The following is a 25,373-nucleotide window of genomic DNA, read 5'->3' on the forward strand; positions in this document are numbered from 1 at the left end:
ATGAACACAATCCATTTAAAATAGCTACAAAAATAAATACCTAGAAATAAATTCAGCCAAAAGATGAAAGATCTCTACAATGAAACAGTAAAACACCGATTTAAAAAATTAAAGAGGACCCCCAAAAATAAAAAGACATTCCATACTCATGGATTGGAAGAATTAATATGGCTAAAATGACCATCATATCCAAAGCAATCTATAAATTCAATCCAATTCCTATCAAAATATCAATGACATTCTTCAAACAGCAAAAACAATTCTAATACTTGTATGGAACCACAAAAGACCTCAAGTATTCAAAGCAATTCTGGGGAAAACAAACAAACTGAAGGCATCATACTATCTAACTTAAAAAATATATATGCTACAGTATAGTAACCAAAACCAAAACATAGTATTGGTTCAAGAACTGGCACATAGACCAGTGGAACAGAATAGAGAACCCAGAAAAAAAATCCATGTATTCACAGCTGACAGATTTTTGCCAAAGGTTCCAAGAACATACATTGGAGAAAGAATCGGCTCTTCAATACATAGTGCTGGGAAAACTGGATAACTGTATGCAGAAGAATGAAACTAGACCCCTCTCTCTCACCATATCCAAAAATCAACTCAAAATGGGTGAAAGACTTAAATGTAACACCTGAAACTATAAAACTATTAGAAAAACATAGGGAAAATGTTTCATGACATAGGTCAAGGCAAATATTTTATGGGTAAGACTTCAAATGCACAGTCAATGATATCAAAAGTAGACAAATGGGAGTATGTCAGACTAAAAGCCTTCTGAACAGCAAAGGAAACAACCAAAAGAGTGAAGAGATAACCAGTAGATGGGAGAAAATATTTGTAAACTATTCGTACAAGAGATTAATAACCAAAATGTACAAAGAACTCAAATGACTCAGCAACAACAACAACAACAGCAAAAAACATATAATTCAATTAAAAGATAAGCAAAGAGGGCCGGGCGCGGTGGCTCACGCCTGTAATCTCAGCACTTTGAGAGCCCAAGGTGGGTGGATCACAAGGTCAGGAGATCGAGACCATCCTGGCTAACGTGGTGAAACCCCATCTCTAATAAAAATACAAAAAGCCAGACGTGGTAGTGGACGCCTGTAGTCCCAGCTACTCGGGAGGCTGGGGCAGGAGAATCACTTGAACCTGGGAGGTGGATGTTGCAGTGAGCTGAGATTGCACCACTGCACTCCAGCCTGGGGGCAGAGTGAGACTCTGTCAAAAAAAAAAAAAAAAAAAAAAGATAAGCAAAGAATCTGAATAGAAACTTTTTAAAAGAAGATATACAATTGGCCCATAAGCATATGAAAAAATAATCAGCACCACTAATAATCAGGGAAAAGTGAATCAAAACCACAATGAAATATCACCACACCCCTAGTTAGAATGACTATTATCAAAAAGGTAAAAAGTAAATGCTGGTGAGGATTCAAAGAAAAAGGAACTCTTATACACCATTGGTGGGAAGTAAATTAGTACAGCCATTGTGGAAAAACCATGTAGTTTCCTCAAAAAACTAACCATAGAACTACCAACAATTCTTCTACTGGGTATTACCAAAAGGAAAGGAAATTAGTATATCAAAGAGATATCTGCACCCCCATGTTTATTTCAGTACTATCCACAATAGTGGAGATACAGAATCAACCTAAATGCCTATTAAAAGATTAATAGATAAGAAAATACGGTGTATATAGGCTGGGAGTGCGATGGCTCATGCCTGTAAATCCCAGCACTTTGGGAGGCCAACGTGTGTGGGAGTTCCAGACCAGTCTGACCAATATGGTGAAACCCCATCTCTGCTAAACATACAAAAATTAGCCAGGCATGGTGGCGTGTGCCTGTAGTCCCAGCTACTCAGGAGGCTGAGACAGGAGAATTGCTTGAACCCAGGAGGCAGAGGTTGCAGTAAGCCGAGATCACGGCACTGCATTCCAGCCTGGGCAACAGAGTGAGACTCCGTAAAGAAAAAAAAAAGTATATATAATATATACCACGAAATACTATTCAGTACAAAAAGAATGAAACCTTGTCATTCATGAAAACATGGATGAGTTTGCAGTGAAAGTTAAATGCTACTTGTTCTCACTCGTATGTGCGAGCTGAACAAGTTGATCTCATAGAAGTGGAGAGTAGAGTTGCAATTATTAGACACTGAGAAGAGTCGGGAGAGAAGGATAGGGAGAGGTTGGTTAATGAATTAAAATTTACAGCTAGTTGGGAGGAATAAATTTTAGTGTTCTATAGCATTGCAGGGTGACTTTAGTTAACAATCATTTATTGTATATTTTCAAATAGCTAGAAGAGAGGATTTTGAATGTCTCCAACACAAAGGATAAATATTGAGGTGATGGATATGCTAATGATTCTGATTTGATACATGAATCAAAATATCACTCTGTATCCTATAAACACATACAATTACTACGTGTCAACCGAAAATAGAAGCAAAACTAATTTCTGGAGCCAAGCACAGACACTATACGAGTCATAATTTCTGACTATCGAAAAATGATAATGACAGTACCAGGGGTGGGTTTCCTATTCAGGGACAATAGTGACTGGCAGTAATGGTGGGGAACTATTGAGGAGGACATTGCCTTGTTTCTTAAATGTCTCTAAGCCTTCAATATCTTCAGCATGTCTGTGCCTTCATGCTAATTAAAAATTCACATAAATATGCTTTTAAAATTAGTAAAATTGTGGCCTCAGGTGAGTTCTTAAATGGCAGTAATATCTCTGGAAATACTTAACCTGTTCATTGAAAACTGAGCCTCTAGAGTGAATGCAGCTAACTTTTCAAAGCTCTTAGGGAAAGGAACACTCACAATATGGGAAAAGATACCTGTGGGGAGGGAACAAACAGGAAAGTGAGAAAACAGCAGGAAAAGCTCTGCCAAAAAAGGATTCAGTACATTGGAAACTATAAAGTCAGTGAGAAGTTGATCTTTCATTATCGTAACCAGCTGAGAAAATTCTGCCTCTAGCATCTGCTAGTAAAGGCGTGAAAGAGAGAAGACTCATTTTGCCAAACTTAGATCCCACTCATAGCTGATGAGTTCTAACTTTAGAGGTGGAAAATAAAATTGAGATTTTGAGCCTGGAAGTTCGATGAACTTTAACATAGCATGGAGATTTGCTTATTGAATTTTTTCCCGTTTCCTATTTTTTCTTTTCATTTCCATCCTTCCCTCCTTCCCTCTCATCCTTCCTTTCTTCTTTCCTTCCATCTTTCTTCCTTGTTTTCCTTTTTTACCTTTCAGTGAATTACAAGGATCACCTTAAAACAAAATTCTTTGTATTCTAGCAGCAAACTTTCTTCTGCAGTTGAGAGTTGATATGCACTTCTTGAGAAGGAACTGTGAACATATCGGGTTTAACATGTTCCTGTACCCTTAAGAAAAAAGCAACTGACTAAGACAATGTTGCTATTCGTACATATAAAGAGGTACCAGGTCTAACACTGTGAGGTTTGAAAAGGAATGGAATTAATCAGGAAAAGCTGTTGAGAAGGGGTAACTCAAAGTATTAATTCAAACGAAGAGAGATACGCAGAATGTTAATAGGAAGTTATAAGGAGGCTTTCATAAAAATGCAATATTTGTAGCAATACTCAGAATGCAAAAAGAATAGACCAATGACAGACAACATAAAACATTTATCTGGACCAAGAAGGCAGTCGCGATAAGACTTGGAAAAAAGAAATAATGGCCTTTGTTGGTACATGGACATGAGAAACCTGTTTTCAGGCAAGAAATAATTAAAACATATAATAGCAATGAACTTTAAATATTTTACATTATATCTTTAGTGAATCTTTCCACATAATCAGAAGAAATACATTTTGTTGTTAAAACACTAGCTTTTTTTTTTTTTTTTTTTTTTTTTTTTTTTTTTTTTTTGAGACAGTGTCTTGCTCTGTTGCCCAGGCTGGAGTGCAGTGGCAAGATCTCAGCTCCCTGCAACCTCCGCCTCCTGGGCTAAAGCGATTCTCCTGCTTCAGCCTCATGAGTAGCTGGGACTACAGGTGTGCACCACCATGCCAGCCTTATTTATTTTATTTTGTATTTTTAGTAGAGATGGGATTTCACCACTGTGGCCAGGCTGGTCTCAAACTCCCAAGGTGATCCACCTGCCTTAGCCTCCCAAAGTGCTGGATTTACAGGTGTGAGCCACTGCACCCAGCCAAAAGATTAGCTTTTAGAAAGACAAATACCACTGGCCTTTACTTATATGTTTTTAGAGCAATGGTTGTAATGTTTTCCATGCTCACAGAAATATTTTATAAACTCTTTCCTGAATAACTAATGTCAGGAACCAAGAGCTGGAGTTAACCCTAGCTATGGTGTCATATTGAATTATGATATATAATCAACCAGATCCCAAAGTTACCCATAGTTGAAGACTCTAACAAAGTAGGAACAGGAGTATATATCTGATCGCCCTTCATAATATAGTGGAATGAATCACACCTTTGAATTTTTTAGTGGGTAGATATAAATTTTTTGTGTTCTGGGCTGCATTTCTATAAAGGCAGCTTTCATTCAACCTGTTAAATAAACATATTTGTAATTTTGGTTATCTTCTCAAAACCATACTTTCTCAGCTGTTCTTCCTCGCATCTTGAACAATATAATTTGCTTTCACTGCTTTTCATATGCTACCAGGATAACTTTAGCATTGGGGGTTTTATATGTAGAAGTGGATTTGCATAGATCTATACAAGTATTACCAGAAAAATGCTATACTTAGAATGATAAATTCACCAGCAGAAAACAAGCCATGACTAATAACAATTTTAAAGAATTTTTCAGGGTTTTCTATGAGTGAGTGTCCACATGTAGATATTGGCAGTGCAATACAGAACAGTGCTTTCTGATGATAACTTAAAATTTAATCCAGTATATGTTGATTGTAAATAAATAAGAGTTCATGAAAATACGTGATTCTTCATGTCAAATACAGCCTCCCCCACTATTCCATCTCCTGCATCCTTTGCTAATTACAGGATGTTATTCATCATGGATTTTCCTATTTCTCTCAGTTGTAAAGATGAAATGCATATAGTTTTGTTAATGTAAATATTGATACTTCCCAGGGTATGTTTTGTTTGTTAAAATTTGCTTTTTTCCCTTAAATGTACTTGCTTGGCATTCCTCTAATGTCATCAACATAAATATGTTTTAAGGTAAGGAGAATGCTGACTTGGTCCCATTCTTAACTCTGAAAATATTAAAAGCACTGCTCCTGGTCATAGTTTCTGCTTCTCTGTATCCTTGTAGAACTCAGGAGAGTAGTCTGGGTATAATTAAGGTCAAGCACTCAGAATTTATAATAATGGCATCTGTGTTACCAACTTCCTCATGACTACTATTAAATACAGCACCTGTACTGGTTGCACCACATATCTCCTGCACAGCCCACCCAATCCTACAAGAGAAGGATTAGTTTTATTGTAATAACTCTTGGCTTATATTTAATGGTGCTTGTGGTCTCTTACTGATCAAAAACCTTTCAATAAGCAGGATTTATTGATCTGGCACTTAGGTCCCTCTTCAATCTAGCCGCAGTTTATCTTTCCAATGCTATTCTATACTACTACTAACAAAATCCCATCTCATAAGTATAAGGCTACATATTGCTACTTAGAAATACAAGTTGTATATCTATAGTTTTGATTATTGTTTCACTTTACTTAAAATTGTCTTTTTTCCCCTGGCTGTGGGTCTATCTAAGCCTGGCTCTTTCAGGTTCCAGCTAGAGTTCCCAGGCACCATACCATTTGAATTCTTGGACATAGATTGTCCACATCACTTATTAAGTACTTATCAAATACTTTCTTATATCGGTATATTTTATTTTTATACCTAGTTTCCCAAAAGAGACAATAGCCCCATGATGTCATATATGCTATCTTACTATCTTATATAGATTCACATCACATCATTATGGCCTGGTAAGGTGATTTACATATGGTATAGGAATTATTAATATTTGTGTAACTAACTTGATAACTCTAGGCTTATTGCCATTTCATAAGGAGTGCATTTCTAGCCTTTTAGTAACCACACTGCCTAGAAATGAGAAGTTATCCATTTTTAATATTATTCTAAAAGAAGAAGGTAATAGAAAACTCCAGAAATCTAAGAAAATATTTCATATTTTTAAATTGCAACTCTCACACTCCATCTTCAAATCTCTGTAATCTAGCCCCCATTACTTACTATCATAACAGTTATATGCATGTGTGCTTTGCTCTTCAAATACCATAAGCTGGAAAAGTAAATTTTAGCTCTTTATTGAAATTCTGAAATGTCATTAGTATCATTTTCTCATTTACTTATCAATTCTTTTTTTAATCAAATGCTTATTATTTGTTGAGCAATTAGGCTTCTTACATTGACCTGAATACATACAGGCCCTGTCAGAAACAAATTTTAGTGCTAATAACAGCTTTCATGTAACACATCATCAGACCTTGTTATTTTGAAGAAATGACATGACTAAAAATGGGGTCCTTTAATCTGAACTTTCTGAAGATTTACTAGGAGAGATGAATAAATAAATTAACACCAAGATTTTTTATCACTATGCTGATGAGAACATATAATTATGAAAGTTTTCTTTAGATTTAAAAGTTTTATCATGTTAACAATTCTGAGTCCCTTTTTCATGTTTTTCCTATGAATACATCCCGAATGCATCCAGAGTGTAAAAGATTTTGTTTGTGCTTTTCTTTTCTTTTTTTTTTTTTTGAGACATAGTCTCGCTCTTTTGCCCAGGCTGGAGGGTAGTGGCACGATTTCGGCTTACTGAAACCTCCGCCTCCCGGGTTCAAGCGATTCTCCTGCCTCAGCCTTCGGAGTAGCTGGGACTACAGGCATGTGGCACCACGCCCAGCTAACTTTTTGTATATTTAGTAGAGACGGGGTTTCACCATGTTAGCCAGGATGGTCTTGATCTCCTGACCTTGTGATCCGCCTGCCTCGGCCCCCCCAAAGTGCTGGGATTATATGGCATGAGCCACCATGCCCAGCTTGTTTGTGGTTTTCTACCTTATTTTGTGACATTGAGACTTGTGGTTTGTGTCAAAAGTCATAATTTTGAGCTGAAAATTACAAAGCATACAGGAATTAAATAACCTGCTGATATACATGGCACAGATCACACTGAGGAATTCCTGTTATATTTAAAAGGGGACTTCAAGAAAACCCTTATGTTGTCTGTTTTACAAGAAGAAATTTATATTTTGTAGTTAAAACATTGAATATGTGCACATACACACAGAGACTTCTTGTTTAAATGTCTACAGGAAAATAGATGAAAGTATAAAATAATACCAGAAATTTTCCATTTAATGATAGCTGGTTGAAGATATACACTTACTTATATTTTATCCTAAAATACCAACAAATTGATGTTAAAGAATTAACAGTGAGACAAGAAGTTTCAGCAATTTTTAGAAGATTGAAAGTAGATAGAGGATTGGCAAGTGAGCAGAAAGGAAAACCCAAAAACTTATGAACATGCAGAGGAGGATTCCAAAGTACAAATTTGGCAGGTAACATCCTCTAACAACAGGATTTGGAAGTGGAAGGAATGTGTGAGGTAGAGGACCAAAAACTGGAATAGGTTGAACAATCTGTTTAAGGAACAGGTAGCTTGCCTTAGCCTCTTCCAATGGTCTCCACATCAGGCTTCTCCCCCAAACAGGCAAGCCTCTTGAGGCACAGGTCAGCATCAGCAGTTTCTAAACAGAAGATTAAATTAAAATTTGCATACTGAAAAATTAAAAACTGCATACTATGCAGCAAGACCACCAGCTCCTTCCCAGTTCAGCCCCAAAATGCTGTGGTTTGGTGCCTAATAATAAGAAGACTTGCAGACCCAAAGCAAAATCCTACAGACTCCTATACATAGAGCATTTGGAAGGCACTGCCCCATCATCTTATGTGAGAGACAACAAATGACCAGCACACTAATGTATAACAAAGCACCAATCAAGTTTTAGCTCCTCCTATTTAATATGAAAAGACAACCAGGGATCACCAGACTTTTAAGGAAGGCTCCAACATGAAAGTTAAAGATAAGAATAAACATAATAGAAAATCTTTAAGTCATCCTCACTGGCTGTTCCCAGTGTTGGGAATTCTCTTTCTCATCTTTGCTCTGTTCACTCCTTCACTTCATTCACTGGCTGCTGTTCAAATGTAAGATACTGAGATATCTTTTCTTACCATTACATCTAGAATAGTGTTACCCACTGCCTCACCCTCACCCAGTTCTTGGTCATTCTATTTATTTACTTGAATTTATTTTCCTTATTATATTAATCACTGCACAGATATTTTGGTATATTTATATATTTGTTGTCCATCTCCTCCATTACAAAATAAACATTCATAAGGGGAAGGAATATTGTTTATAGACAATAATTGTTTTTAATATTTACTTATTTATTTAGTGAAGATGAGTAACTTGAATAAAGCAAAAGCAATGTAGAAAATATAATTTTAAAACTCTGATAATTCAGAGAACTAAGAAAACTTATAGCCAAGACACAATTAAAATAAGAGCTATATAAAAAGAACAATTAGAGAATAATTAGCTCTTGGAAGTTCAAAACGTTAAAAATTTTAAAATAGTTCACTATTAGACTCGCAAGACTTGGTAAAGAAAATCTCAGAGAGTAAAGAGAAATGAGAAATATGAACAGTGGGAAAGAAAAGATAAGAAGGTGAGAGATCAGTCCTGGAAGTCAACTGTCTGACTAACAGAATTTCCTGTAGTAATAGAAAGAGTGGAAGGGAGGAAAAAATTAAGGATATAATGCAATAATATTGTCTAGACTATAATTAAAGGGCCCATATATTGAAAGGCCCAAAGATGCTCTACAAGCTAAATGAAAAACAGCAACAACAACAACAAAAACACCCAGTTACTTCCTTTAGAGAATTTCAGAACTGGGAGCTGAATGTATTTCCTACATAAAGGAACCTCAGGCTAGGTGCAGTGGCTCACACCTGTAATCCCAGCAGTTTGGGAAGCCGAGGCGAGTAGATCACTTGAGGCCAGGAGTTTGAGACCAGCCTGGCTAACATGGTGAAACCTCATCTCTACTAAAAATACAAAAATTAGCCAGGTGTGGTGGTGCATGCCTGTAAACCATGATACTCAGGAGGCTGAGGCAGAAGAATTGCTTGAAGTTGGGAGGCGGAGGTTGTAGTGAGCTGAGATCATGCCACTGCACTCCAGTCTGGGTGACAGAGGAAGACTCCGTCTCAAAAAACAAAAACAAAAACAAAAACAAAACAAAAAAAGCAAGAAACCTCAAATATATTAAAGGAAACCAAAATAAGGTGTAGAGTATATATATATGTCTTAAAACCTAAAAAATACCCCTAGTATTTTATATTATTAATGGGTATGGATATGTAAATATTTAGGAAAACTGTAAAAAAAAAGTCACGTGAACACTAATTCTAAAATCATGATAGTAATTATCCCTGAAGAAGAAGTGAAGAAAGTAATATTTAGGAGAAGTACAGAGAAGGCATCATTTATATTGTATAAAATATTCTATTAAAAATGACTTCAGTCTGGGTGTGGTGGCTTACACCTGTAATCCTAGCACTTTGGAAGGCTGAGGCAGGCAGACCACTTGAGGTCAGGAGTTCAAGACCAGACTGGCCAACATAATGAAACCCTGTCTCTACTAAAAATAGAAAAATTAGCCAGACGTGCTCACTTGAACCCAGGAGGTGGAGGGTCTAGTAAGCCAAGATTGTGCCACTGCACTCCAGCCTGGGCGACAGAGCGAGACTCTGTCAAAAAAAAAAAAAAAAAAAAAAAAGACTTCAAGCAAATATAGCCTAAGGATTAATGAAACTGGGTGGTGGGTATAATGACGTTATTATAATATCCTTTATACTCTTCAATGGTTTTGGAACTATATCATTGCTTTTTTAAAAACAGATGCAAAATACCAAAAGAAAGAAAGAATGGAAACAGGTTACATTTTTTAAAAATGTAGGGAAGCAAAATGATATTGGACTTCTCAACTGCAAAAACAGAAACTAGAAAATAACGGAGAAATTTCCACATGATTCTGAGAGAAAATCGTATTTAACCAAGCAGTATAAATGTGTCCATCCAAAATATCAGTCAATTAATATAAAAATGTAATGAAAGCACATTCATCAGACTTAAGAAACTAGTGACTAACATGCTCTGTAAAACAAGAGAAGAAACCAATTAAGAGAAAGACACGAGAAATGTTAAAGAGAAATTATACCAATACTTGTTAAGAATGGCAAGATGGATTTTATTTGAACTACTGTAGTAGGGAAGAGAGACTTCAATATTGAACTGACATCATCTCCAAGTAAAACAAACAAAGAACACTTTACTCAAGACCATTGCAATGGGAGAGAAGACCACTGCAGAAGAGAGACAGACTGAACTCAGCTCCACTGAAAAGAAAGCAGAAGGATTATTAAATGCTGACATGAACCAGTAGGGAGTACATTAGTGGGGAAGTTGGTGAATGTGTTTAGGCCATCTGAGTTTGCTAAATGTCACTTACCTGAGTTAGGCTCCTACTCTCCTACACAGATTGAAATAGAGGTGCTATCATTTTTCACAATTACATTTCAAAGGGATATCTCTCATGTCCTTGAGAAAGACATTCCTGAGTTGTAGAAAATTTACATCTCAAAAATAGGGAGAAAAAATTGATAATTGCAAAATTTCTAAAGTAAATGCTCTAAGAAAAGGGAAGTTAGAGGCCCATATTGAGGAAGAAATCTCTTTAAAGTTTAGTCGAGCTGATAGGAACATTAAGGTCATGTTGGTCAGATCCAGGAAACTGGGGGTTCAACATGCAAGAGAACTGATGATATTGGGTGGAGGCCTACATTAAATTATGTGCATCAAGTTCATGGAGTGTGATGGAAGCCAAAGCCTGGAGGATTCCAAGTCATAGTTCACCTGAAAAAGAACAAACAAAAAAGGCATTAAATGATCCTGAAGTATTGGACCATGTAGAAATGAATATTGAATGAGTCCTTACAGTTCTATTGGTCAATTTGAAAATAATTAGTGGTAGATATGCCACAAAGAGATGATGAAAATCTACCCAAAAAATGTGAAGAAATCAAAAAAACAAAGATAGCTGGAAAATCCCAAAATACATGGAGATTAAACAACACATTCTAAATAGCACATGGGTCAAGAATAAATCTCAAGACAAATTGTAAAATATTTTGAACTAAATGGAAATTAAAATATCACTTTTTAAATTTTGTAGAATGTAGTGAAAGCACTGCTTTGAGGGAAATTTATAGCATTGAATGCATATTAAAACAATCTAAAATCAATAAGCTAACCTTCCAATTTATCACTCTAGGAAAAAAAAGAGCAAAGGAAATCCAAACTAAGCAGAAGGAAAGACCTACTACAAATTAGAAAATAAATCAATAAAATTAAAAATAAGAAATCAGTAGTGAAAACCAACAAAACTATAAACTGCTTATTTGAAATGATTAATAAATCATTAGGCCTTTAGGCTAAGAACAAAAGAGGGAAGTTAAGAATTACTAATATTATCAATGAAAGCAGGAATATAACTACAGATATCTGGACAAGAAAGGATAATAATGGTATATTGTTAACAATTCTATATCTACAAATTTAACAACAAAGATAAAATGGAACAATTTTTGAAAGATGCAGTCTAAAAAAACTTGTAGAAATAGACAAATTGAATAGGCTTTTATCTATTAAAAAATTGAATCAGCAATTATTAACTTTTTAAAGCAGAAAGCACCAGACCTAGATAGGTTCACTGGTGGATTCTACCAAACACGTAAAGAAGACATTATACCAATTCTCTACCATCTTTTTCAGAAGATAGAAGCAGAGACACTAACTTCGTAACACAGTCTATGATGCTAGCATCACCGTAATACCAAAACCAGACAAAGGCAGCACAAAAAAAGAAAACTGTAGTCCAATATCCCTCATGAACACAGATGCAAAGACTTTCAACATATAACAGTCAGTATAGCAAATTGAATCAGAGAATGTATAAAAAAAATTATACACCACAACAAACTGTGATTTGTCCCAGGTATGCAAAGCTGGTTCAAAATTCATGTAATACATCACATCCACAAACTAAAGAAGAAAAATTACAATATCTATAGATGTACATCGTATCAATAGATGTACCTCACATCAGTAGATGTATAAAAAGCATTTGGCAAAATCCAGCATCCATTCATGATAAAAACAAACAAAAAAACTCTCAGTAAACTAAGACAGAGAAACTTCCTCCACTGGATAAAGAGTACCTATAAAAAAATCTATAGCTAACATCCTAACAGTGAGAACTAGAAGCTTTTCTACTAAGATCAGGAACAAAGCAGGGTTATTCCCTCTCACTACACCTCTTAATATTTTACTGGAAGTTGTAGCTAACACAAGACAAGAGAAGGAAATAAAGTTACACAGATTAGGAAGGAAGAGATAAAACTATTTTTGCTCACAGATAAAATGATTGTCTGTGTAGAAAATCTGCAGGTATTGGCCCCCAAAATACTCCTGTAGCTAGTAAGCAGTTACAGCAAAGTTTCAGGGTACAAGGTTAATATGCAAAAGCCAATTGGTTTCCTTTGTACTACCAGTAAACAGAATTTGAAATTTAAAATACAATACCATTTATATTACCACACACACACAAAAGGAAATATATAGGTATCAATTTGTCTTCAACTATTTTGTGCTGCTGTAACAAAATACTACAGACTAAGTAATATATAATTTTATAATTTATAATTGTGCATTTAGGCTGCATCATAATATGGCAAAAGGTATCATATGGCAGAAAGGCAAAAAGACAGGGAGATATATGAGGGGAAAGAGAACAAAAAGAAGGCCAAACTCACCCTTCTGTAGCAAACCCACTCCCATGGTGGCAACATTAGCTCATTCATGACAGTGGAGCAACGCATGGCCTAATCACCTCTTGTTATGCCCCACCTCCCAACACTGTTGCACTGGGTATTAAATTCACATGCTTTTGGGGTGACATACTCAAACCATAGCACTTCTGGTCCGCCAGAATCTATGTTCACCTCACATGCAAAATATATTCATTTGATTTCAATAACACCAATGTCTTAACTTGTTCTAGCACCAACTCAAAAGTCCAAAGTCAAGAGATTCATCTAAATCAGATATGGATGAGACTCAAAGCACAATTCTTCCTGAGGCAAATTCCCTCTAGCTTGAGCCTATGAAATCAAAACAAGTTATCTATTTCCAAAATACAATGGTGGGACAGACATAAGGTAGACATTCCCATTCCAAAAGGGCGAAATAGGTAAGAAAAGAGGGGTGACTTGTCTCAATAAAGTCCAAAACCCAATAGGGCAAACAACATTAAATCTTAAAGCTGGAGAATAATCTCTGTTTTGACCCTATGTCCCATCTTTTTAGTACACTGAGGTAGGAGTTAAGCCGCCAAGGCTTTAGGCAGCCCCACCTCTATTGCTTTGCTGGGCTCAGCCTGTATAGCAGCTCTCACAGGATAGGGTGTCATGACTACAGCTCTCCGGGTGGTTGTTGCAGACTGGTAGCTCTGCAGTTCTGAGGTCTTGGGGATGGCCCCACTACTGTGGCTCCATCAGACCTTGCCCTAGGGAGGACTCTCTGCAGTAGCCTCACTACCTGTATTCCACTAATCATTGCTTAGTGACTCTGCCCCGAAGCAGGTTTCTGCCTGGGCCCCAGGCTGCCTAATGTATTCTTTGATTAGTGGATGCTGCCATAACTCCATAGCTCATGAACTTGGCACGTCTGCAGAGTCAGCACCACATAAATGCCTCAAGGCTTACTGCTTGAGCCCTCAGGAACAGTGGCCCGAGCTGTACTTGAGGCTGCTTAAGCCACAGCTGTGGGAGACAAGGAGACAAGCTTCTTGAATGTGGGGAACAGAGTTATAAACACAGGGAACAGAGGCCCAAAGTGGCCCTAGTCAAGGAGCTTGTGGAGGGCATCCTAGACCTGTCTCCCAAAATCATTCTGCCCTCCTACAGCTCTGGGTCTATGATAAGAGGGAAAGTCTCAAAGATCACAGAAATGCCTTCAGAATCATTTTCCATTATCTTGATGAATAACACCTGTCTTTCTTCTAGCCATACTGATCTCCTTATCAAATGTGTACTTGGCCATACCCTTGGATTTCTTTCCTAAAAAAGGTCTTTTATTCTGTACCATATGGTCAAGGCTGAAACTCCTTTAAATCCCTAAGTGTGTTTCCCTTTAAATCATTTTATTTAAATCTAGTTTTGTCTTTAAATAATTTATTTCTTCTTGGATTTTACTGTATGAAGTTAAAAGAAGCCACACAACTCCTGTAATATTTTGCTTAGAAATTTCTTCTGCCAGATATCCTGGATCATCACTCTTAAATTCCATCTTCCATAAAGCCCTGGGGCATGGATACAATTCAGCAAAGTTCTCTGCCACTTTATATCAAGGATGGCCTTTACTCCAGTTTCCAAAAAGATGTTTCCCATCTCCATCTGAGACCTCATCAGAATGGCCTCTACTGCCCATATTTCTACCAGCATTCCTATCATAACCACTTAAGTAATCTATATGAAGTTTCAGACTTTCCCTGTAGCTCTCCTTCTTCTGAGTTTTCACCAGAATCGTCTGTAATCCTCCATTTATAGCAATACAAGCTTTTTCTAGCATTCATTTCAAAACTGTTTCAGCCTCTACTCATTACCTAGCTCTCAATCGTTTCCACATTTTCGGGTATTCGTTATAGTACCACTCAATTCCTCTGGTACCAGTTTTCTATCTTAGTTTGTTTTGGGCTACTATGACAAAACACCCCAGACTGGGTAATTTACAATAAACAAGAATTTATTTTCTCACAATTCTGGAGGCTGGGCACTCTAAAATCAAGGGGCCGGCATCCATCAAAGTCCTTCTTGTTGTGTTATAATATGGCAGAAGGCATCACCAGGTAGAAGGGCACAGAGAGTGCAAGAGAGGAAGTGAAAAAAAGGCCAGTCTCACCCTTTTATAACAAACCCACTTGCATGATAATGAAGCCCCACACACTCCAGTCATAGCAGCATTAGTCCATTGGTGAGCCTGGAGTCCTCATGACCTAATCATGTCTCATTAGGCTTCACTTCCCAACACTATTGCTTTGGGGGATGTTTCCTACACACAATTTTGGGGGATACATTCAAACTACAGCAAAATCTAGCAAAATATGTACAAGATCTATATGAGGAAAATTGCAAACTTCTTTTAAAAGGAATCAAATAAATAATCGTGTGAAATTCAATGTTTATGGATAGAAAGACTCAAGATTTTCAAGATTTCAGTTAATCCCAGCTTGATCGATAGATTCATCACAATCCAGCAAGTAATTTTATGGATGTTGGCAAACTGATTCTAAAGTATATAGAGAGAGGTGAAAGATCCAGAATAGACGAAACTATATTGAAGGAAAACGATAAAATTTGAGGACCAATAACACCTAACCTCAAGAGTTAATATAAAGTTACAGTAATTAAAACAGTGTGGTATTGGCAAAAGAAGAGACAAATAGATCAATGGAACAGAATAGAGAACCTAGAAGTCCACCCACACAAATATAGTCAACTGTTTTTTGCAAGAGAGGAAAGGCAATGCAAAGGGGAAGACAGTCCTTTCAATAAATGGTGCTGGAATAATTGCACATCCACATGCAAAAAAAAAAAAAAAAAAAAAAAATCTAGACACAAACCTTGTGTCCTTGACAAAAATTAACTCAAAATGGGTCAAAGACCTAAATGTAAAATGCAAAACTGTAAAACTCCTAGAAAATGACACAGGAGAAAATCTAGATGAACTTGGATTTGGCAATGACTTTTAAAATATGACACCAAAGGCATGATCCATGAAAAAAAGCATTAACAAGCTGTCCTTAGTTAAAATTTAAAAACTTCTTTCTGAAAGTATTATCAAAAGAATGAAAAGACAAGCCATAGACTGGTAGAAAATATTGCAAAAGACATATATGATAAAAGACTACCAGGTATGGTATTTTAATCTATATTTTAACAATATAATTTTTATCTTTTTGAGTCTGAAATAGGCAAAGAACTCTTAAAACTCAATGATGAAAAGCAAACAACCCAATTTAAAAATGAGCCAAAGATCTTAGCAGACATCTCACTGTAGAAGATAAACAGATGGCAAATAAGTATATGAAAATAGTCTCAACATCGTATGTCATCAGGGAAATGCAAATTTTGTAATATTCATACAACCAAATTTTAGAGAAAATTATACAGAATGGTGAGGAATAGAAAGGGAATATTTCTAAAAATGTTACTTCACACATTTCATACTAGAAATAGGAGATAATACTTAAATGATAAATGAATAATGTCAACATGAGCATGATATTTACAAAACAAAAGTAAATACTTAAAGAAACAGTTATAAAAAATGAAAGTGGTTGCCTTTCAATAGGGTACTATGAAATGGAAAGAACCGTGGACAAGAAATGCTATTTTTGGCTACAGCTTTATGGTAAATGTAATTATTTAAAATATATGTAGTTAATTGATTTTCTAAGTAATAAATAATATAGAAAGCATATAAATAAATGTATGAAGTAATAAAATATTTTACTTGTCATCCAGACAATAGGTTCAAATGACCTTTAGAAATCTCAAACGTAAGTTAAAAGAGAAAATACCAAAAAAGTAAATAAATTTAACAAAAGAGAAAACTTAGAACTGACCCTCTGGAGAAATGAAAAATAAAATAAAAAAGAGAGAGAGAAATTAGAGTTTGGTGTTACCATTTGGATTATGCCTGCTCCCCTAAACTTATGTTTATGGCCTAACCCCCAGTACCTCAGAATGTGACTTCATGTGGAAAAAGGATCATTTCAGATGTGACTACTTAATGAGGTCATTAGAGTGGGCTCTAGGCCAATACAACTGGAGGCCTTATATTTTAAAAACAGAAATTTGGATACAGCTTGGCACCCGGGGAAGTTGCTATGTGGAATGAAGGCAGAGATTAGGGTGATGGTTCTACAAGCCACAGAATGCCAAATATTACCAGCACACCATCAGAGGCATGCAATGGATCCTTCTTCACAGAAAGCCCCTTGAAAGAACCTTACTTACACCAGGATCTTAGAATTTTGGCCTCTAGAACTGTGAGAAAATAAGTTTCTTCTTAAGCCACCCTATTTGTGGTACTTTGTTATGGCAGCCCTAGCAAACTAATATAGTTACTGTATTAGAAAGAGGAGCTAAAGATGGCTCAGATGTCTGTTAAATCCAGCATAATTCGCTGCCAGTATTCTTGAAATTATGGAAGAAAAATCAATTAACGATACCATCCAATATATTATAAATATTTTATATGAAATATTTATATAATTGTTAATTCCTCTTAAGAAATTAGTATTAGGAAAGAAGAGATTGTCTTTCTTGGGGCCATGGTATTCTTCATTCTTTTAGATGATGATAGCTGTGTTCCCATTGTGTCTCCATTATTACCAACAAGTCAGTTCTGAATTGAGTATCCAAGTGAGGCACTTACTCATGTCTTGGTTTCCTGGCTCACTAGCTATCATCTCCATTTTTTTGGTTCTTATTTTTTACCCTTGTTTTAATGGTATATGTTTGCTTTATTATGACAAGACTCTTTTTTTTGGCAGTAGTTAGGATATAAATAATTAGTAAATAAATGATCACTTCTGATTACCATAGCTCTAGTGGCCAACAAACTCAACTAACATCAATGCTTTTTAAAAACTTGTCTCTGCAGCTATGGTGACTAACTGTCCTGGTGTGCTTGGGACTAAGGGGCTTCCAAGGACAAGGGACTTTCATTGCAAAATTCATGACAGTCCCGGGCATAATGGGATAGTTACCTATCTGAACCACTTCTGTGTCTAACAGCTCACAAGCATGTTTTCACTGTCACTGCTTTGGGCTCTGGTCCCTGTTTGCAATTATGATTACCCCTAATAAACTCATACATAGTTGAGTTGATTATTGAATCATCTTGCTTTGTATGATAAATTTTGCTTCAACCAATGAGAAGCAATAATGCAAATAACCAAGTTCTAAGTCTCAGAAAATCCTCCTTACCATTGTTTCAAATGGAAACTTGTGGTTGGTCTTGACTTCCTGTGAGAGAGGGAGGTTTACCGAGACCTTGAGCTATGGATATTAGATATCACCAGGGATTAGGGAACTGGATTGTGTTCTTGCTGGGCTGTCCAAGCCTGGCTGCCCTCATGGCTTAGTCTCTTGTTGGTTGCCCTTTTGAATGGTTTTCTCTTTTCTCTTAGGCCCTGGGGATTTATCCAGTTTGCTTTGGTAACCAAACATTAAATGATCATGATTTTGAGAAAAATAACATAAAAAACATTCCTTTCTCATGATTTCCCCCACAGGGCTCCCCATGGACCTGATTCTTCTGCTACCATTGGATAAAATAAATAGCAGATCTCCTACTTTTGTGGTTACTTCCAGATAATAACAAGTTATCCAAAGTCACTATAGTTTCCAAAGAAGTCTGTGTTCAGAAATTAATGTCTGACATTATAATAAAAAATCCAAATTGTATTCAAAATTAAACTTCTTCCTTCCTGTAGGGAAAGTTGTATGCTTTGTGTTTCACTTCGATCTTTACTAACTAACCCCATCCCTATCTCACAACTATTATCTGAGATCTCAGACCCCACCATGCTTGGAGTATAGCAATGGAGAGGAGATAAGGGAGCAGGAGAGATATCTAGGCTAACAGAATTTGGTGGCTAATGAGATTGAAAAGTGTCTCGAGACACTTTTCTGGGGTTTTCAGAGACCCTGCATTGCATTAAATATCTCATCTGTAGGTACATGATTTAGTTGGTGTCTCTTCCATACTTACTATATTTTAACACTCCCTCCCTCATGCCCTAAGAATAGGTGATGGTAAAGATTCAGCCATCACCCCCCTACCCACCAGTCTTCTTAGAAATCCTTGGAAGAAAACCCACGTTAGCTCTCTCTCATGACAGCCCACATCTGCTACCAAGGATCATTACTTTAGATCCATGATATGTAGCAGTGCACTTTCCTTTCTCATACTGCCTAATTTTTGTTTGACCACTTCTCAGGTAGCTCTAGCCACAGACTCTATTTTGAGATTTATCAGGCCTGAGTCAGACACTAGCTGCTGTGTTTCCTAGGTTCCAAAGATACTTTGAAGCTTTTCTCAACAGGCTTGCAAAAAAAAGAGATCACCCCTACCCCACCCAACCACCACCATGGAGATGATGACATTCATAGCACACCTTTTTCCAAAGAAGTTCTACTTGCAATCTCCAAATTCCCTGGCCATTTCAACTCAACCTTTCCATATGTTCAATGTGAGTGTGTGGCTCCACGTCACAAACGATGACTTAAGACGTTATCTGTACAGGGTCTGCCTAGTCCATCAGAACCTCACTTTGGAGTGAGTAGTTGGCACCTATTATCTTGTGGCCATAACTATCACTGAAACTGATAGAGTGCAATTTCCCATAACTGACCTTTTTTTCTTAGAACTTATCTTCCTTCATGACTTGCTGAATAATAAAATGCTTTTGATGCATTTCCTTTAGCCGTTCTTTCCCTGGAAGACAACATTTGCCCATGTGCCATTGATAGCTCCAAGTTGGCATAGGTGATTGCAAGCTCTCTGAGTGCAAAATTCTACTTTTATTCCATTTACAGCTGGGTATCACCTAACATGGTGAACTTCATCTAAATAGTTGATTTATTATCTCCACCCTACAAGAATTTGATAATAATATTTCCTAAAAAATATTTACTTCTTAATTCTTAAGAAACATTATGACCAATTTCACAAAAAGTGATAAGATTGAAGAGACACTGATTTGCCCAAATAACAGGAAGAGGGGGAAGCAAGTAATATTATGTTTTCTTAAGTAAGGGTCTTACAAATTCAAGCATTAGCCACAATATTATGTTAAATGTTGCAGAATTGAAGTATAGCTTTAAGATTTAAAATGTGTGAAAAGTAAACATTTTGAGAGAAAAAAATAAAGCAGATTTAGAATAGCATGAACTTCACTTGATAAAAGTTTAAATCCTTCCCTTTGTAATGGGAAAGACCCTTGAAAGGTAAAGACTCTTCAGTGTTACAATGAATATAAATCATTAGTAATATAAATCACTAGGAATTTCTCCAATAAAATAATTTGATCTATATTATTATAGTCAGGAAAAACCTTCATAAGTAGGATGAATCCATAGATGCATAATTAATTTAGCTGTGTCCTCGCTTCCTGTAAAATACAGCATGGGGTAGGAAAAAAAAAACAAACAAACCCACATTTCCAAATGGGAAAGTCAAAGCAAGTCAGTCCCAAGTAAGCTGACTAACATTTATAAAGTAATTCTCATCCTTGTAAATTGCCTTCTTGCAGGAAACAGACCTTATCCTGACTTTTAATATATCAATGCACCGATCTTGGTGGATGGAGAATGGACCAGGATGTACGGTGACGTCAGTGACACCTGCCCCAGACTGGGCCCCAGAAGACCATCGCTACATCACGGTCTCAGGGTGTTTGCTGGAGTACCAGTACATAGAAGTGGCTCATAGTTCCCTCCAGATTGTCCTCGCAGTAAGTGTTGGCAGCCAACCGCTCCTTCTAGTGCCTCTGGGGTTGTTTTATTTCTGTGCGAACTCAGTGCACACAAATGGAATCTGTGGGTAAAGTGTGGCCTTTTTGCTTTTTCCTCATTAATGCGACTTTTAACAGGAAATCCTCAGGTTAAACTAAACCATCCTCTGGACTTAGTGTGCTGATTTTCTTCGACAATTAGTAAATACCCTTTGTTATCATCAGCATTTTACATAGGAAATCCAATCAGTCAAGATGTGATTACGTGACTTTTGGTAGACTTTTCCAAGGATTCTGAAGGGATGATCAGAGATTTTTTTCATAACGTTCTACAGTACTCAAAATTATAAGATTTCCATAAGTGTTTTCTCTTTTAGTGCTTCTTTTGGCTGTGCTGCTAGCCCTGGGATTTCTCTTTTTCATTTGCCCTATCTCCTTCTTCCTTCCTAGATTTCTCCCAGGCACCATCCATCACCTTTAATCTCCCACTTTTTTTCCAGAAAAAATCACATTTTCTATAGATTCTAATTCTAAGACATTCATGCCCCCATTTTTCATAGTACTGTAACAATAAAAAAAAAAAAAAACCTCCTTCTACCAGGAGGCAGTAGCACTTACAAATAACATATGTGTACAACATATGCCTATTTTATATAAAATACATGATTTAACATTGTATTACTATGACAAAGAGATAAATTAAAACACCTCTTTCTCAAGAAGGCCAACTGCATAATATCATGAGATGTATAAAGTTAAGGCAACTTTATGACACATGAATCCATTTATTCATTACAGATCTTAAATGCAGAACTGCATAGATTTTTCTTAGATTCTATGTGGATGTGCAATTGATGTGCATAGTATTAAAATTGTTAGCAACAAATGATGCAAGCAGAATCTGCTTTTTACCTCTTTAGTTAATTATTTTGGAAATGATATTGACTCACAGTTCTTGGATAACAATAAATAATAGTTTCTGGGTAGAGTGGCATACAATTCAGAGAAACATAAAATTCTTCTGGAATTAAAAAAAAAAACTATGTGAGTGTGTCAGTGTTAGATGATATAACTAATATATCCTTGTTATATTTTTAATGGAATGTGTGTGCTTATGTGTGTGTGTGTGTGTTGTGATAGACTAAGGAAGCTAAGTATGCTATGTTAGTAAACACTTCCAAATTCTCTGTAAATAAAAGTCATGAAGGTTTCTTCTTGTGTGTCAGCAGGAGGCTCCACTGATCACTGTCAGTAAGGAAACAAGGCTAGTTGAGTAGCCAGTATCTCCATCATCATGGGTTACTGTGCCAGAAAGTAATAATAGCTGTGGAGGGTCTACATGGGCACACACATGCTTCTGCTTGGGAGGAAGGCTCATTGTTCACAGTTCATTGTGCGGAATTGGTCACACAGTCCCACCCAATCACAGAATGGACAGTAAAGAGGAAGGGCTGTTTATTTGGAAATCAGCATAAATGATGTCCAGAACATTTGAATTATGTTCTTTGCTAAAACACTAAGTAATATCCCTTGAATATGTTCAACCATAGACACTCCTTCCAATTAACAAACTCTTCTGTAATAGTTTTAAATCTAAAAGTGCTTACTTTGCTTATCCTGAAGTAAAAATAAGTTAGACTTGACAGGATGGAAGTAGCCATTTCATTCTTTAAAATCCATTTAAATCAAGTAATCATTATCACATGAGAAAAGTGAAATATTTCTGTGATTTGGGGTCAGATAAAATATCTTTATATATGTATTAAAAGGAGGTTTTAAACAAAATATTCCTTCTGTAGAACTGCCTATCTTTACTGTACCCACAAAATTTTGGAAAATTTCCACCTATGTTTTAAGGATGAAGTGAAGATACAGTTTATGTGCATGGATATTTATATATGACTATTTATAGAGTTTTTTGAATTAGTTTATGTGTGTATGTGTGCGTAAAATAGATTCACAGATTTATTAAATGCCACATAAAATGCTGACACATAGGGAATGTGCTAAAAAAATACATTTGGACGTGGGGGCATATGTTGAAGTTGACATACATACCCAAAGAAAAGATAATTTTCCTTAAGTAGAAACCATCTGTAACAGCAAGGTGGCTAGAGTGCAAAGAAGATGGATGGGTTATTGCTAAGAACAGATGTGACCAATATTTCATGCTACTGGCTCTTGTTTCTCCTGTCTGCATTCCCCCCAGTGGAGTGAAGGAATAGTTTGAGTAAACCATCCTAGGATGTGACATCTTCACCTCTACCTTTTCCACCTGTTCTTTCCAGGGGTGTACTACTTTTGCAATGTTGACTGTGGAACACCAGAGTTAGCAATGGCACAGCCACGGCATTACTTGGAGAAATTTCAACACATTTTCTACTTTTGAGCTTGCTCTTATCTAGCCAGCTTTGGGTTGAATGTGTCTGCTATACAGAAAACTTAGCAAATTTGAACTCGAGTTTTATAATGCAAATCAAAAAGGCTTATCTTTAACAACTTGCTCTGCAAACAAAATTTCCTATCTTCATTCTGATCACTGATGTAATGATTAATTGATGAAATAGTGTCTTAAATCTCTGTCCCTCCCCTTTTGTGTTACCCAGATCATCTCCTTGACAATCAAATGTTCCATTAAATCAGTCTAGTGGAAAATTCCTCAGTGCTTGTCTCCTTCTGGCATCTAGAGAAGCAAAGGTGTCAGGACCTCTGACCTTGAGGCTGTCACAGTCAAATATACAGCAACGTTCCCCAAAGCACAAACGAGGTGCAAACAGGCACATTTGGGGGATGTGGTAGACAAAGAATATGGCTTATGCAGTTTAAGGCATAATCTTGGCTTCTTAGCTCCATGCAGTTTTGTAAAGTCAGCTGAACTCTCACTCTTCTCACTGTTTTCATCCAAGTCTTTGAAACTGCCCTCTCTTCCAGCATATCTGGCTTAGATCTGCTTTCATAAACTGCTGCTTTCTCAGCCACTGCTCTTGATTAACTCCAAATCTCTCCAGCTCTTTGTCTCCACCCTCATTCAGCCTTTCTTTCACAGATTCCTGAACCCTGGCAAGCCTGTCACCCTGTTGTTCGGTTTTCTGCCAATCAACTCCTGGCTGATTCTGAAATTAGCATTCACAAAGCCCACATTTGCATCACACATACATAAGATATCTCCAATCTACAGCCAAAGGAAGACAAGTATAATATCCATATAATTGGGACGAGGGGCTATTAATCACACAGCTTCCAGCCGTGCAGAAAAGACTGCCAGAACACCATAATGATGAGCCAGGTGTGATATTTCGAGCTTTCTCCTTCTCCAGCCATATTTTCTTCTGGTTAGCATCAGATAGCACATTCAAAAAGAATACAGATGTGCACAGATTTAATAAAACCAAAAATTAAAAAAATCCACATTTTCAAAATAGATAAAATAAATGTATGTGGGGAGAGCCAAGGAGGAGATCAATTGGGGAGATATTATTGTTCACGTTACAGAAAAATTAATCGGATCCTTTCAATGTGTGATTGGAACAGCATGGATTATAAAATATGTTCACATGAATTAAATCTTTTGATTGTGTAACAGTCCTCTGAGGGCAGCAGAATAGGTTAAAAGCTCTTCCTAAGATATTTTAGCTAATAAATAGGGACAATGAACATGCTGTCATAGCAAGGTTGGGAAATAGTCTTCAATCTGAATGCCAGCAGCAGCTGATGGATAATGGATTCCCGGAGTGTAAAAATTCAGGGTTCTTGAGCAGCAAAGGATGCCATGATTGATTAGCTATGTCTGCCACAGGTGAGGGGAATGAAGAGGGATGTGCCTCACATTTATTATGCACATATTATACTTTACTTCCTGTGATAAAAACAATGAACAGGGAGTGTGTTTTACAAACAAATGTGCAGAAAGAATAATTTATATATATATATATATGTAAGCTTTCTGTTTTCCCACAGCCATTAGTGTTGACTTAGAAACAGTGTACAAATGAGCAGGGAAGCCATGGATGACATTAGAAAAGGTTCTAATATCTGGTACCTGGTTCATAGCTAAAAATAGTTTAAAGTCAAGTTCTCCTTCGGTTATATCTATTCCCTATTCAGAAAACTCTCTACTTTGTAGAGTGCATGAAATGGTAAAAATTATTTTTCAACAGATTGAGGAAAAAAATGTAGATAAAATGCATACATTGGGGTCAGTAAAGTCACAGATGTGTTTAGTTATGTTGTTAATAATTTATGTTTGCCATTTGTCTGGCTAAGACTTACTGAGGATACCGTTAGTGAAGAAGTTTTCCAAACTTTGAAACTCTTTATCCAAGTGGACTTGAGGTTGTGTTGGGAATGGCACATGGGTGTTTCTTTGGATGTAGCTGATATGTATGTTGTATGCATGGGAGTGGCCTTATTGTGCATGTTGCTGTTTGATGCCTCTTTTAATCTGGAAACATTCACAAAGATTTTATTTTTAAGATTTGAATTCTGACTTCCACGTCACCTAGAATATTGCCATTCACGTTTTACATGTTAAATCTAAGTTGTGAACTTGTGTAGTTTGAAAGGGATGAGTGGGAAGTGATATGAGCTGATACTAGCTACTCAGCAGTCAGAAGTGGTGTGGTTGCCATGGCCA

At 36.5% G+C, this 25,373-nt stretch overlaps 1 protein-coding gene across 9 annotated transcripts in view; it reads left to right on the forward strand.

The window, feature by feature from the left end:
- The window catches only part of NKAIN2 (sodium/potassium transporting ATPase interacting 2), a 1,021,776-nt gene that overhangs the window by 833,782 nt on the left and 162,621 nt on the right, over positions 1–25,373 (forward strand). For 7 of the 9 annotated variants that reach the window (XR_007059213.1, XR_007059214.1, NM_001300737.2 and 4 more), the window contains one exon: positions 20,540–20,740. The exons of the other annotated variants lie outside the window; for them this stretch is intronic. Coding sequence is in view for 5 of the 7 variants with exons in the window: in NM_001300737.2 (NP_001287666.1) it covers positions 20,540–20,740 (201 nt within the window). In the remaining 2 variants the exon portion in view is untranslated. The remainder of the gene's footprint in view (positions 1–20,539; positions 20,741–25,373) is intronic. 9 annotated transcript variants of the gene reach the window in all.

Source organism: Homo sapiens, chromosome 6 (assembly GCF_000001405.40).
Source record: "Homo sapiens chromosome 6, GRCh38.p14 Primary Assembly".
Taxonomy (NCBI): Eukaryota; Metazoa; Chordata; class Mammalia; order Primates; family Hominidae; genus Homo; species Homo sapiens.